This window comes from Homo sapiens, chromosome 2 (genome assembly GCF_000001405.40).
Source record: "Homo sapiens chromosome 2, GRCh38.p14 Primary Assembly".
In the NCBI taxonomy this organism is placed as follows: Eukaryota; Metazoa; Chordata; class Mammalia; order Primates; family Hominidae; genus Homo; species Homo sapiens.
In genome coordinates, this window is record NC_000002.12 from 134825516 (window position 1) to 134839831 (window position 14316).

At 39.4% G+C, this 14316-nt stretch overlaps 1 protein-coding gene across 7 annotated transcripts in view; it reads left to right on the forward strand.

Annotated features, from left to right (window-relative positions):
* The first annotated feature begins 13100 nt into the window (after nucleotides 1-13100).
* Nucleotides 13101-14316, forward strand: part of ACMSD (aminocarboxymuconate semialdehyde decarboxylase) — a 63419-nt gene continuing 62203 nt past the window's right edge. For all 7 annotated transcript variants that reach the window (XM_011510592.3, XM_047443333.1, XM_017003325.2 and 4 more), the window contains exon 1: nucleotides 13101-13224. Coding sequence is in view for 2 of the 7 variants with exons in the window: in NM_138326.3 (NP_612199.2) it covers nucleotides 13168-13224 (57 nt within the window). In the remaining 5 variants the exon portion in view is untranslated. The remainder of the gene's footprint in view (nucleotides 13225-14316) is intronic.

The following is a 14316-nucleotide window of genomic DNA, read 5'->3' on the forward strand; positions in this document are numbered from 1 at the left end:
ACGGGTGATTTCTGCATTTCCATCTGAGGTACCGGGTTCATCTCACTAGGAAGTGCCAGACAGTGGGCGCAGGTCAGTGGGTGCACGCACCGTGCACGAGCCGAAGCAGGGCGAGGCATTGCCTCACTCGGGAAGCGCAAGGGGTCAGGGAGTTCCCTTTCTGAGTCAAAGAAAGGGGTGACGGACGCACCTGGAAAATCGGGTCACTCCCATCCGAATACTGCGCTTTTCCAACGGGCTTAAAAAACGGCGCACCACGAGATTATATCCCGCACCTGGCTTGGAGGGTCCTATGCCCACGGAGTCTTGCTGATTGCTAGCACAGCAGTCTGAGATCAAACTGCAAGGCTGCAGCGAGGCTGGGGGAGGGGCGCCCGCCATTGCCCAGGCTTGCTTAGGTAAACAAAGCAGCCTGGAAGCTCAAACTAGGCGGAGCCCACCACAGCTCAAGGAGGCCTGCCTGCCTCTGTAGGCTCCACCTCTGGGGGCAGGGCACAGAAAAACAAAAAGACAGCAGTAACCTCTGCAGACTTAAATGTCCCTGTCTGACAGCTTTGAAGAGAGCAGTGGTTCTCCCAGCACGCAGCTGGAGATCTGAGAACGGGCAGACTGACTCCTCAAGTGGGTCCCTGACCCCTGACCCCTGAGCAGCCTAACTGGGAGTCACCCCCCAGCAGGGGCACACTGACACCTCACACGGCAGGGTATTCCAACAGACCTGCAACTGAGGGTCCTGTCTGTTAGAAGAAAAACTAACAAACAGAAAGGACATCCACACCAAAAACCCATCTGTACATCACCATCATCAAAGACCAAAAGTAGATAAAACCAAAAAGATGGGGAAAAAACAGAACAGAAAAACTGGAAACTCTAGAAAGCAGAGCGCCTCTCCTCCTCCAAAGGAACGCAGTTCCTCACCAGCAACGGAACAAAGCTGGATGGAGAATGACTTTGACAAGCTGAGAGAAGAAGGCTTCAGACAATCAAATTACTCTGAGCTACAGGAGGACATTCAAACCAAAGGCAAAGAAGTTGAAAACTTTGAAAAAAATTTAGAAGAATGTATAACTAGAATAACCAATACAGAGAAGTGCTTAAAGGAGCTGATGGAGCTGAAAACCAAGGCTCGAGAACTACATGAAGAATGCAGAAGCCTCAGGAGCCGATGCGATCAACTGGAAGAAAGGGTATCAGTGATGGAAGATGAAATGAAGTGAGAAGGGAAGTTTAGAGAAAAAAGAATAAAAAGAAATGAGCAAAGCCTCCAAGAAATATGGGACTATGTGAAAAGACCAAATCTACGTCTGATTGGTGTACCTGAAAGTGATGGGGAGAATGGAACCAAGTTGGAAAACACTCTGCAGGATATTATCCAGGAGAACTTCCCCAATCTAGCAAGGCAGGCCAATGTTCAGATTCAGGAAATACAGAGAACGCCACAAAGATACTCCTCGAGAAGAGCAACTCCAAGACACATAATTGTCAGATTCACCAAAGTTGAAATGAAGGAAAAAATGTTAAGGGCAGCCAGAGAGAAAGGTCAGGTTACCCACAAAGGGAAGCCCATCAGACCAACAGTGGATCTCTTGGCAGAAACCCTACAAGCCAGAAGAGAGTGGGGGCCAATATTCAACATTCCTAAAGACAAGAATTTTCAACCCAGAATTTCATATCCAGCCAAACTAAGCTTCATAAGTGAAGGAGAAATAAAATACTTTACAGACAAGCAAATGCTGAGAGATTTTGTCACCACCAGGCCTGCCCTAAAAGAGCTCCTGAAGGAAGCGCTAAACATGGAAAGGAACAACCGGTACCAGCTGCTGCAAAATCATGCCAAAATGTAAAGACCATCAAGACTAGGAAGAAACTGCATCAACTAACGAGCAAAATAACCAGCTAACATCATAATGACAGGATCAAATTCACACATAACAATATTAACTTTAAATGTAAATGGACTAAATGCTCCAATTAAAAGACACAAACTGGCAAATTGGATAAAGAGTCAAGACCCATCAGTGTGCTGTATTCAGGAAACCCATCTCACGTGCAGAGACACACATAGGCTCAAAACAAAAGGATGGAGGAAGATCTACCAAGCAAATGGAAAACAAAAAAAGGCAGGGGTTGCAATCCTAGTCTCTGATAAAACAGACTTTAAACCAACAAAGATCAAAAGAGACAAAGAAGGCCATTACATAATGGTACAGGGATCAATTCAGCAAGAAGAGCTAACTATCCTAAATATATATGCACCCAATACAGGAGCACCAAGATTCATAAAGCAAGTCCTGAGTGACCTACAAAGAGACTTAGACTCCCACACATTAATAATGGGAGACTTTAACACCCCACTGTCAACATTAGACAGATCAACGAGACAGAAAGTCAACAAGGATACCCAGGAATTGAGCTCAGCTCTGCACCAAGCGAACCTAATAGACATCTACAGAACGCTCCACCCCAAATCAACAGAATATACATTTTTTTCAGCACCACCACCACACCTATTCCAAAATTGGCCACATACTTGGAAGTAAAGCTCTCCTCAGGAAATGTAAAAGAACAGAAATTATAACAAACTATCTCTCAGACCACAGTGCAATCAAACTAGAACTCAGGATTAAGAATCTCACTCAAAACCGCTCAACTACATGGAAACTGAACAACCTGCTCCCGAATGACTACTGGGTACATAACGAAATGAAGGCAGAAATAAAGATGTTCTTTGAAACCAATGAGAACAAAGACACAACATACCAGAATCTCTGGGACGCATTCAAAGCAGTGTGTAGAGGGAAATTTATAGCACTAAATGCCCACAAGAGAAAGCAGGAAAGACCCAAAATTGACACCCTAACATCACAATTAAAACAACTAGAAAAGCAAGAGCAAACACATTCAAAAGCTAGCAGAAGGCAAGAAATAACTAAAATCAGAGCAGAACTGAAGGAAATAGAGACACAAAAAAACCCTTCAAAAAATTAATGAATCCAGGAGCTGGTTTTTTGAAAGGATCAACAAAATTGATAGACCACTAGCAAGACTAATAAAGAAAAAAAGAGAGAAGAATCTAATAGATGCAATAAAAAATGATAAAGGGTATATCACCACCGATCCCACAGAAATACAAACTACCATCAGAGAATACTACAAACACCTCTACGCAAATAAACTAGAAAATCTAGAAGAAATGGATAAATTCCTCGACACATACACTCTCCCAAGACTAAACCAGGAAGAAGTTGAATCTCTGAATTGACCAATAACAGGATCTGAAATTGTGGCAATAATCAATAGCTTACCAACCAAAAAGAGTCCAGGACCAGATGGATTCACAGCTGAATTCTACCAGAGGTACAAGGAGGAACTGGTACCATTCCTTCTGAAACTATTCCAATCAATAGAAAAAGAGGGAATCCTCCCTAACTCATTTTATGAGGCCAGCATCATTCTGATACCAAAGCCAGGCAGAGACACAACAAAAAAAGAGAATTTTAGACCAATATCCTTGATGAACATTGATGCAAAAATCCTCAATAAAATACTGGCAAACCGAATCCAGCAGCTCATCAAAAAGCTTATCCACCATGGTCAAGTGGGCTTCATCCCTGGGATGCAAGGCTGGTTCAACATACGCAAATCAATAAATGTAATCCAGCATATAAACAGAGCCAAAGACAAAAACCACATGATTATCTCAATAGATGCAGAAAAAGCCTTTGACAAAATTCAACAGCCCTTCATGCTAAAAACTCTCAATAAATTAGGTATTGATGGGACGTATTTCAAAATAATAAGAGCTATCTATGACAAACCCACAGCCAATATCATACTGAATGGGCAAAAACTGGAAGCATTCCCTTTGAAAACTGGCACAAGACAGGTATGCCCTCTCTCACCACTCCTATTCAACATGGTGTTGGAAGTTCTGGCCAGGGCAATTAGGCAGGAGAAGGAAATAAAGGGTATTCAATTAGGAAAAGAGGAAGTCAAACTGTCCCTGTTTGCAGATGACATGATTGTATATCTAGAAAACCCCATCATCTCAGCCCAAAATCTCCTTAAGCTGATAAGCAACTTCAGCAAAGTCTCAGGATACAAAATCAATGTACAAAAATCACAAGCATTCTTATACACCAGCAACAGACAGAGAGCCAAATCATGAGTGAACTCCCATTCACAATTGCTTCAAAGAGAATAAAATACCTAGGAATCCAACTTACAAGGGATGTGAAGGACCTCTTCAAGGAGAACTACAAACCACTGCTCAAGGAAATAAAAGAGGATACAAACAAATGGAAGAACATTCCATGCTCATGGGTAGGAAGAATCAATATCGTGAAAATGGCCATACTGCCCAAGGTAATTTACAGATTCAATGCCATCCCATCAAGCTACCAATGCCTTTCTTCACAGAATTGGAAAAAACTACTTTAAAGTTCATATGGAACCAAAAAAGAGCCCGCATTGCCAAGTCAATCCTAAGCCAAAAGAACAAAGCTGGAGGCATCACACTACCTGACTTCAAACTATACTACAAGGCTGCAGTAACCAAAACAGCATGGTACTGGTACCAAAACAGAGATATAGATCAATGGAACAGAACAGAGCCCTCAGAAATAATGCCGCATATCTACAACTATCTGATCTTTGACAAACCTGAGAAAAACAAGCAATGGGGAAAGGATTCCCTATTTAATAAATGGTGCTGGGAAAACTGGCTAGCCATATGTAGAAAGCTGAAACTGGATCCCTTCCTTACACCTTATACCAAAATCAATTCAAGATGGATTAAAGACTTAAACATTAGACCTAAAACCATAAAAACCCTAGAAGAAAACCTAGGCATTACCATTCAGGACATAGGCATGGGCAAGGACTTCATGTCTAAAACACCAAAAGCAATGGCAACAAAAGCCAAAATTGACAAATGGGATCTAATTAAACTAAAGAGCTTCTGCACAGCAAAAGAAACTACCATCAGAGTGAACAGGCAACCTACAAAATGGGAGAAAATTTTCGCAACCTACTCATCTGACAAAGGGCTAATATCCAGAATCTACAATGAACTCAAACAAATTTACAAGAAAAAAACAAACAACCCCATCAAAACGTGGGCGAAGGATATGAACAGACACTTCTCAAAAGAAGACATTTATGCAGCCAAAAAACACATGAAAAAATGCTCATCATCACTGGCCATCAGAGAAATGCAAATCAAAACCACAATGAGATACCATCTCACACCAGTTAGAATGGCGATCATTAAAAAGTCAGGAAACAACAGGTGCTGGAGAGGATGTGGAGAAATAGGAACACTTTTACACTGTTGGTGGGACTGTAAACTAGTTCAACCATTGTGGAAGTCAGTGTGGCGATTCCTCAGGGATCTAGAACTGGAAATACCATTTGACCCAGCCATCCCATTACTGGGTATATACCCAAAGGACTATAAATCATGCTGCTATAAAGACACATGCACACGTATGTTTATTGCAGCATTATTCACAATAGCAAAGACTTGGAACCAACCCAAATGTCCAACAATGATAGACTGGATTAAGAAAATGTGGCACATATACACCATGGAATACTATGCAGCCATAAAAAATAATGAGTTCATGTCCTTTGTAGGGACATGGATGAAACTGGAAAACATCATTCTCAGTAAACTATCGCAAGAACAAAAAGCCAAACACTGCATATTCTCACTCATAGGTGAACAATGAGATCACATGGACACAGGAAGGGGAATATCACACTCTGGGGACTGTTGTGGTGTGGGGGGAGGGGGGAGGGATAGCATTGGGAGATATACCTAATGCTAGATGACAAGTTCGTGGGTGCAGTGCACCAGCATGGCACATGTATACATATGTAACTAACCTGCACAATGTGCACATGTACCCTAAAACTTAAAGTACAATAAAAAAAAAAGAATCTCTTGCCTTTTTCCACAAAGGAATGTGCAGTATAAAGCTCATCTAATTAACAATTCCATTTTTTAATGTACAGATGAGATCTTATACAATTTTCCTTTTGGTTTTCACTTTTCTTAGTGTTACAGTGGGAACGGAAACAGTGTTATCTGCTCACAAAAACTCTATCTAACCTCTTGCCCATTTAGCCCAAAAGTTTGTCTGTCCTTATGAGCAAAACTAAAAGCAATCCTCTCTTCTTCTGTTACAGGTACATTGAACATACATTAAAGGTAGTCATACACACGATTTTTTAAATCTCGCACTTTCCCTTTAATTCTGCTTAGTGAAAGTAGTCTTTCTCCTCTCTCTGGATGAAAACCTGTGTAGCCTCCAAGACATTTTTTTAATATAATTTATGTTCCAGGATACACGTGCAGGATGAGCAGATTTGTTACATAGGTAAATGTGTGCCATGGTGGTTTGCTGCACCCGATCAACCCATCATCCAAGACATTTCTACTCACTTTTAGGCTGCTTTAAATTGAAAGCCAAGTCTCTGTTCAGAAAGTAAAAATGCCCAGTATAATATATTAGGAATCTCTTCAATCCTTATGGGAAGGTAAGGCTTCTCTCCCTGAAAATGAGCATATGAATCTTTCTTTTCCTTCCCTAACTGGCATTTCCCCACTCTAAGCTTGATCTCTTTCTCTAGCAGGGTCAAAGCAGGGAGAGGGAGGACATGTGAGGGCTACAGAAAAGTTGTTACTTGACTGACTCTCTGGTAAGATGGCTCAGAGCCCTGTGGGCCAGGCTGGAGCTTAAAAAGCACTCTCCTTTTCTTGTGGAATGCTTTTGAGGTTCTTTGGTGGTTCTCCAGCATTGGGACACTCTGCTGCCATTCCTTGTAGATAATTTTTATTTGATTGACTTACCAATAATTGAAAGACATATGTTAGAAAATTTGTCAAATATATATATACATATATACAGTCATGTGTCACATAAGGACATTCTGGTCAGCAATGGACTACATATACAAAAAAATGCAGAAACTACAAAAAAATACAAAAGAAGTCCAATAAGATTTTAATATTGTGTATTTACGGTACCTTTTCTATGTTTAGATACACAAATACTTTCCATTGTGTTACAATTGCCTACAGCATTCAGTACAGTAACATGCTGTCCAGATTTGTAGCCTAGAAGCAATATTATGCCATCTAGCCTAGGTGTGTAGTAGGCTGTACCATCTAGGTTGTATAAGTGTACTCTGTGATTTCTGCACAATGACAAAAATCACTTAATGAGGCATTTCTTAGAACATATCCCTGTTGTTAAGTGATGTATGTCTGTGTGTGTGTGTGTGTGTGTGTGTGTATTTGTGCATTACATATTTTGAGGCAAATTTGTAACAAATTTAGAATTATTACTTATTTTAGTTTTTATTATAGTGGTCCTCTATATTATTTATACTGGTCCTCTATATATTATTTTGTGGTCCTTTCTACATATTATATTGATAGTGGTCCTCTATATATTATATAGTGGTCCTCTTTTGTCTCAATAATGCTTTACATTTTTTAGTCTTGTTTATCTGACATATGTTCCTGCTACCATAAAATGTTATGATAAAAAACTATCATAGCGGCCGGGCACGGTGGCTCACGCCTGTAATTCCAGCACTTTGGGAGGCTGAGGCAGACAGATCACTTGAGGTCAGGAGTTCAAGACCAGCCTGGCCAACATGGTGAAACCCCATTTCTACTAAAAAAATATAAAAATTGGTCAGGCATGGTGGCACATGCCTGTAATCCCAGGTACTCGGAAGGCTGAGGCAGGATAATCACCTGAACCCAGGAGGTGGAGGTTACAGTGAGCAGAGATCATGCCACTGCACTCCAGCCTGGGTAACAGAGGGAGACTCCATCTCAATAAACAATAAAAACAAACAAAAAAACAAAAAAACCTATCATAGCTATCTTTTGGTTAGAATTCGCTACTTTTAATTTCTTGTAATATTTTTACTTTCAAACTTTGTATACTCTTATAGTTTAAATGTGTTCCTTATAGCTGGATTTTGTTATTTCTGCCATTTTGTTTTGTGCTTTCTATTTGCCCTACTATTTATGGGTTTTTTTTCTCTTTTATTGCCTTCTTTTGAATTAATTTTTTTCTTATTCCATTTTCCACTTCACTGGCTTTTAAGTTACATATTCTATTTGTATTCTTTTAGTAGTTACTCTGGAAATTTTACAATGCCTAATTAGGGACAGCTGAAAGTGTCCCCCTCTACCTGCTCAAAGATGTCCACACCATAGTCCCCAGAACCTGTGAATATGTTACTTTACATGGTAAAAAGGGCTTTAAAAATGTAATTAAGTAAGGATTATCCTGGGTTATCTAGGTAGGTCCTGTGTAGTTACATGGGCCTTTATAAGAAGGAGGCAGGAGAGTTAGAATTTTAAAAAGGCAAGGTGATGATAGAAGCAGAGAGGACTAGAGGATGCCAATGTCTTTGAAGATGGGTTTCGGGGGCAGGAGCCAGGGATGCAGATAGTCTCCAGAAGATAGAAAGGCAAGGAAACATTCTTTTGCAGAGGCTCCAGCAAAAAATACCCCTGCTGACCCATGTTAGACTTCTTACCTCTAGATCTATGAGAGAATAAATTCATGTGTTTTAAGCCATTAAGTTTGCAGTAATTTGTTACAACAGCAATTCGAAGCTAATACAGAGTTTGGTACCTGAAAGTGGAGTACCGCTGTAATAAATACATAAAGATGTGAAAGCAGCTTTGGAATTGGACATTAGGCAGAGGGTGAAATAATACTGAAAATCCTAGATTGCCTTGAAGATACTGTTAGTAGAAATATGGATGTTAAAGATTCTGCCAGTGAGGGCTCAAAGGAGTGAGGAGCCTGGTAGAGAGAACCTATATTGTCTTGGAGAACACCTTAATCATCCTAAACATACCATTGGCAGAAACATGGATATTAAAGGCAATGTGGGCCAGGTGCAGTGGCTCACACCTGTAATCCCAGCACTTTGGGAGGCCAAGGCAGGCGGATCACCTAAGTTCAGGAGTTCAAGACCAGCCTGACCAACATAGAGAAACCCCATCTCTACTAAAAATACAAAAATTAGCCAGGTGTGGTGGTGCATGCCTGTAATCCCAGCTACTCGGGAGGCTGAGGCAGGACAATCATTTTAAGGCCAGAGGCAGAGGTTGCGGTGAGCTGAGATCATGCCATTGCACTACAGCCTGGGCAACAAGAGCGAAACTCCATCTCAGAATAAAGAAAGAAAGAGAGAGAGAGAGAGAAAGAGAGGGGAGGGAGGGAAGGAAGGAAGGAAGGAAGGAAGGAAGGAAGGAGGGAGGGAGGGAGGGAGGGAGGGAGGGAGGGAGGGAGGGAGGGAAGGAAGGAAGGAAGGAAGGAAGGAAGGAAGGAAGGAAGGAAAGAAGGAAGGCAGGCAGGCAGGCAGGCAGTGTGGTGACGGCTCAGAAGGAAATGAGAACATGTTAGAAAGTGGAGGAAAGTGAATCCTTGTTATATAGTGACAGAAAACTTAGCTCAATTATGTTCCCTACAGTTGTGTGGAAATCAGAACTTGTAAGTGATAAAACTGGATATTTGGCTGAGATTTCCAAGCAAAGTATTAAAGATGCATCCTGGTTTCTTCTTGTTTATAGTACATGCAAAAGGAAAAGACAGATTGATAAAATGTTAAACTAAAAGGAACCAGGACTTAATGATTTAAGAAACTCTCAGTTTATCCAGATTGCAAAAGATGATAGAGTTAGGAGATTCACTGTTGGAATGGCATGCCAAAGATGTGGTTGGATAACATTTTGCTATGTCTTAACTCCTTAAAACAGGCAGTAGTAGTAGTAGTAGTAGTGGTAGTAGTAGTAGTAGTAGTAGTAGTAGTGCTTAATATAGTTAGGTTTACTTATAAGATTACCAGTTTGTTTGTTACCCATTCAATCTTGTATTTCAGACCATCTTTCTGGAGTCACTTTTTTCTTTTGGGAGTACGTCATTAAAAATTTCTTCAGTGAGGCTCTGTTGATAGCAAATTCAGTTTTTATCTGAAAATGTCTTTACTCTTCCTTCATTGTTAAAATTTTACATGGTGTACAATTCTAAGTTCACAGTTAGCATCTCTCAGCCTTTTGAATATATTATCCTATTGTCCTATGGATCTCATTATTGCTCTAGGAAGTATGCTGTCAGTCTAATTCCTGAGTTTTGGAGGCATTCTCTTTCTTTCTCTCTAACAGCTCAAAGGATCTTATTTTGATGTTCTGTAGTTTTCACTACAAGGTTTCTACAAATGAATTTTTGTCAGTTCTTCTTGATACAGGTTTTGATTCCTGGATCTGTTGGCTCACTAGGTCTAGAAAATTCTCAGCTACTATCTCTTGGAATATCTCTTCTCCAACTTCTGACTCCTCTATTTTAGCAATCCAGTTGGACTCTATTTAAACTTTCTTGTTCTAACCTGTGTGTTTTGTGCCTTACATATGCTTAATTCTCTCATCTCTGTGTGAAAGTCTCTCTTCCACTTCATTAATTCTATTTTTAGCTACATCTGTTTAACCTCTCCACTGAGTTTTTAAATTAAAATTATTTTGATTTCATTTTTAAAGTCTCATTTTGCTCATTTTCAAACTTGGTAAACATTCTTGGAGGTTTAAATCTATTATTTATTATATCTGTGGACTCCTGCTCATAGTGACTTTTTTCCTCATGTGTGTAGAATTTTTTTATTGTGAGACAATACTTTGTTGGGGGTGCTTAATCTGTGGCAATACTGAGGAGACAGAATTGGGATGTTTTTCTTCAGGGAGGATTTACATTTCCTTTTTCTGGTCAAAAGTAGTACTAGGGTTTGGATGTAATTTCTCCCTACCAAAACATGTTAACATATAATTGCCAATGTAGCAGCATTGGGAGGTGGTGTTTTTAAGAGGTGATTAGGCTGTTAAGATGGGTTTTTCACAAGCCTGGTTTAGTTCTTGAGGTTGGATTAATTCTCATAGAAATAGATTAGTTCTTCCAAGAGTGGGTTGTTATAAAACTCATTAGCCTCCTTTGTCCTGTCCCTCTTTGCACACATCTGCATACCTTTCTGCTTTTCTACCATGTTGTACCTCAGCATGTGGCCCTCACCAGAAGCCAAACAGCTCCTGGTGCAATGTTCTTGGACTTTCCAGCCAGCAGAACTGTGAGCCAAATGAGTTTCTTTTCTTTATAAATTATCCAGACTCAGGTATTCTATTAAAGCAACACTAAATTGACTAAGACAGGGTGGGAGGAAGTAGGTGAGTGGTACTTTAACTAAAATCTTAGTGGGTGACCTTGAATAGTAATTCTCAAAGAAATTCTCAGAGAAAATTGTTATTTCTTCTCTTTTTTTCCCCTCATAGTGAAGACAGGTTTCATTACAGACTCCCTCTTTTTGGCCAATGGATTTTTTTCCTAGACTACTTTTTCCCTGAGGGTCTAGATCCTTCAAGACTTTTAGTGTAATGAGGGCATTTCAGTTTTGTACAAGCCCATATTATTATCTCCCATTCCCTTGTGGGATATTAACCCTGAAATCTCTAGGAGTCTGAAGCCACATTTTCTGGATTCTAATTCCAGTTCTCCCACACACTATTGTGTAACCATGAACAAGGTACTTCTCCGTGCTTCAGTTTCCTCTTCTATAAAATGAATATTGGTCCTAGTTCTTCCCCCACAGGAATGTTATGAGTAATAAGTGAACCGACTTTATTAAAATTCATGGACCAGTGCCTGGCCCATTGGGAGTGCTCTAAAAATGCTTGCACTTACTTACTCAGTATTAGCAAGTGCCTCCATGTTAGTTTAAGGCTTACTCATTCAGTTTTAGCTCACTGAACTTCTAAAAAAATGGATTTCAAGGATTTCCTTTATTTTCTTTCAAGCTGTCTGTTATAATTTATCCAGAATCTAGCTGAATTACAGAAGGAAGCTTTTTGACTACTCAATTTATGTGTTGTGGAGTCTGAGCTGAAGGCAGCAACCAAGGCAGGTTTAAGGGTTTGCCAGGGGACCTGGGGTCCCTTGAACATTTTAAGCTGTTCAGGAAGAGGAAAGGGTAAACACAGAACAATCAAGGGCTGTTTTGTTCCAGGCTCTCTTTAGAGGCATGACCATATAAGCCCCACTTTCTGCTATATTGGAAGCCCTCCCTGACTGCTCTGATAATGCTAAATGGAAATGGCTACTATCTTCTTTTCCCTACACTTTAGGATATGTATCATCTTTCTCTCAGTCAACCTTACATCGTCAGCATATAGCAGTTCTCCATAAATGTTTGTTAAATGCATGAATGAAGCTGGGTGCAGTGGCTCTCGCCTGTAATCCCAGCACTTTGGGAGGCAAAGGTGGGTGGATTGCTTGAGCCCAGGAATTCCATACCAGCCTGGGCAATATAGTGAGACCGCATCTCAAATTAAAAAACAAAAAAAAAAGGAAAAAAATGCATGAATGAATGAGTCCAAGACAAAGGCACTGGAGGAAAAAACATATATGAAGAGTGGACTCTTTCTGTGATTTAAAATGTGAAACCTCCCCATAACTTTTCAACACGTTAAATTTTCATGAACAAGACAACTGTTAAATATTATTTAAAGATATGGGAGTAACTAACTGAACAAAAAGCAAAATCATAAAAACTGGCTGCTTCTGAATAGTGCAAGGAAAAGTAAGAAAAGGTGAGTCAGGGATCTATCCTTTTTCTGTAAAAGCCCTCTGCATGGTTTTATTTTTAACTACAAACTATTTAATTATTAACTATGTACAACTAAGTTAAAATATTTAAAATGAAAAATCAGTCAATTTTTGACCTGCTGTAAGTCAAAGCATCCTGCTGTGCTTTTGACCTCATACAGTTGAGTACAGTTGTTTTTTTGTTTTTGTTTTTGTTTTTGTTTTTTTAAGTTTTGTGCCAAGAGTCCTGACTACCAAACTGTGTTGACCCAAAGCTTGATTAACAAATAAAGCTTGGTTAACCAAAGCTTGGTTAACAAATAAACAGAACTTTGAACTTTAATAAAGCAGTTCTAATGGACCTAGACTGGGTTGGGCAGGCCTACTGACTGCTGCCTGAAGGTTGCTGTAAAGGGACTAAGTAAATCAATTAACTCCACAGTTTTCACAAAGGTCTCTTGATATCAAAACTTCTTTCCTTGCATGCTTCTCTGATCCTGTGGAGATGAAAATTGACATCCATAGTCATATTCTACCAAAAGAATGGCCAGATCTAAAAAAGGTAATGGTAATTAATTTGCTGAATTATTTCTGAAACTTCTCCAGGGTTTCTCAATGCCTTTCTCTTCTTTGTGGAATTAGATGTCTAGTTTATCTGCTTTGGTGGGGGGCGAGGGGGTTAAATCATTTGGTAGTTCTGATTTTCTAGCTTTTAAAAATGACTTTTATATTTATTTTGAAATAACATTGGATTAAAGAAATAAGTGCTTTCTCAGAAACCCTTTTTTCCCTCAAATGAACCATTCTTTAAAATATCTGGACAATTTAAATAAGGCAGATTTACCTTTTCAAAAATCACATATTCAGCTGCTGGGAAGATACATGCCAACTACAGAATTTAAAGTTACAATTTTAAGTAGAAGACCATTAAAAATGGAATGTGATCGGTTTCAAGGACTTCTAAAATATATCTCCTTTCCAAAATGTTTAAAATAAGTTTTAGAAGCACCAAGAGATAGCTTTGTGAATTTTTTTAGTCTATTTTAGGACACTGCCTGAAACCTTTACTGTTTGATGTTCTTTATTCTATAAATCTTTGTCCTGAAGAACTAGGAAGTAGGTACATCAAAAAACCCGAGAATAAATGACATGAAGCTTTTGCACAGTGACATCTCCTAAGAGAGTATTCTTTGTGTTTCTCTAAAGATGGAAATTTCCTTTTGTCATTAAGAACTTTTGAATGAATATAAAAAGAGGAAGGTGAGGAACATGAAAGAAATGTAAAATTGGCTAGAGGTTTGTTCAGGCTTAATATCAGGTTTTACCCAATCTTCAGCATTCTGCCAGTACTTTCACACCACCGATAATGTTTCAACTTTTTTATCCCAAGTGAGGGAAAATGAATTAACCCAAACTTGAATTAAATGTGGTTCATTGTGCAAATAGATGAAACTATTTTCTTCTCATAGTTGTCTCATTGAAGAATGTTTATCTTAAGTATTTCTTTGTCCATTGGTATCTTAGGTAAGAGGGGTGGTAGAAACTGTGGATTGAAAAACAAAATCTTTGAAAGCCTATCCTATGCACAGCTAACGATAAAAGATAAACCTCTCAACCTGCTCTTCCTAAAAGGACTCTACATGTTTACACAGGA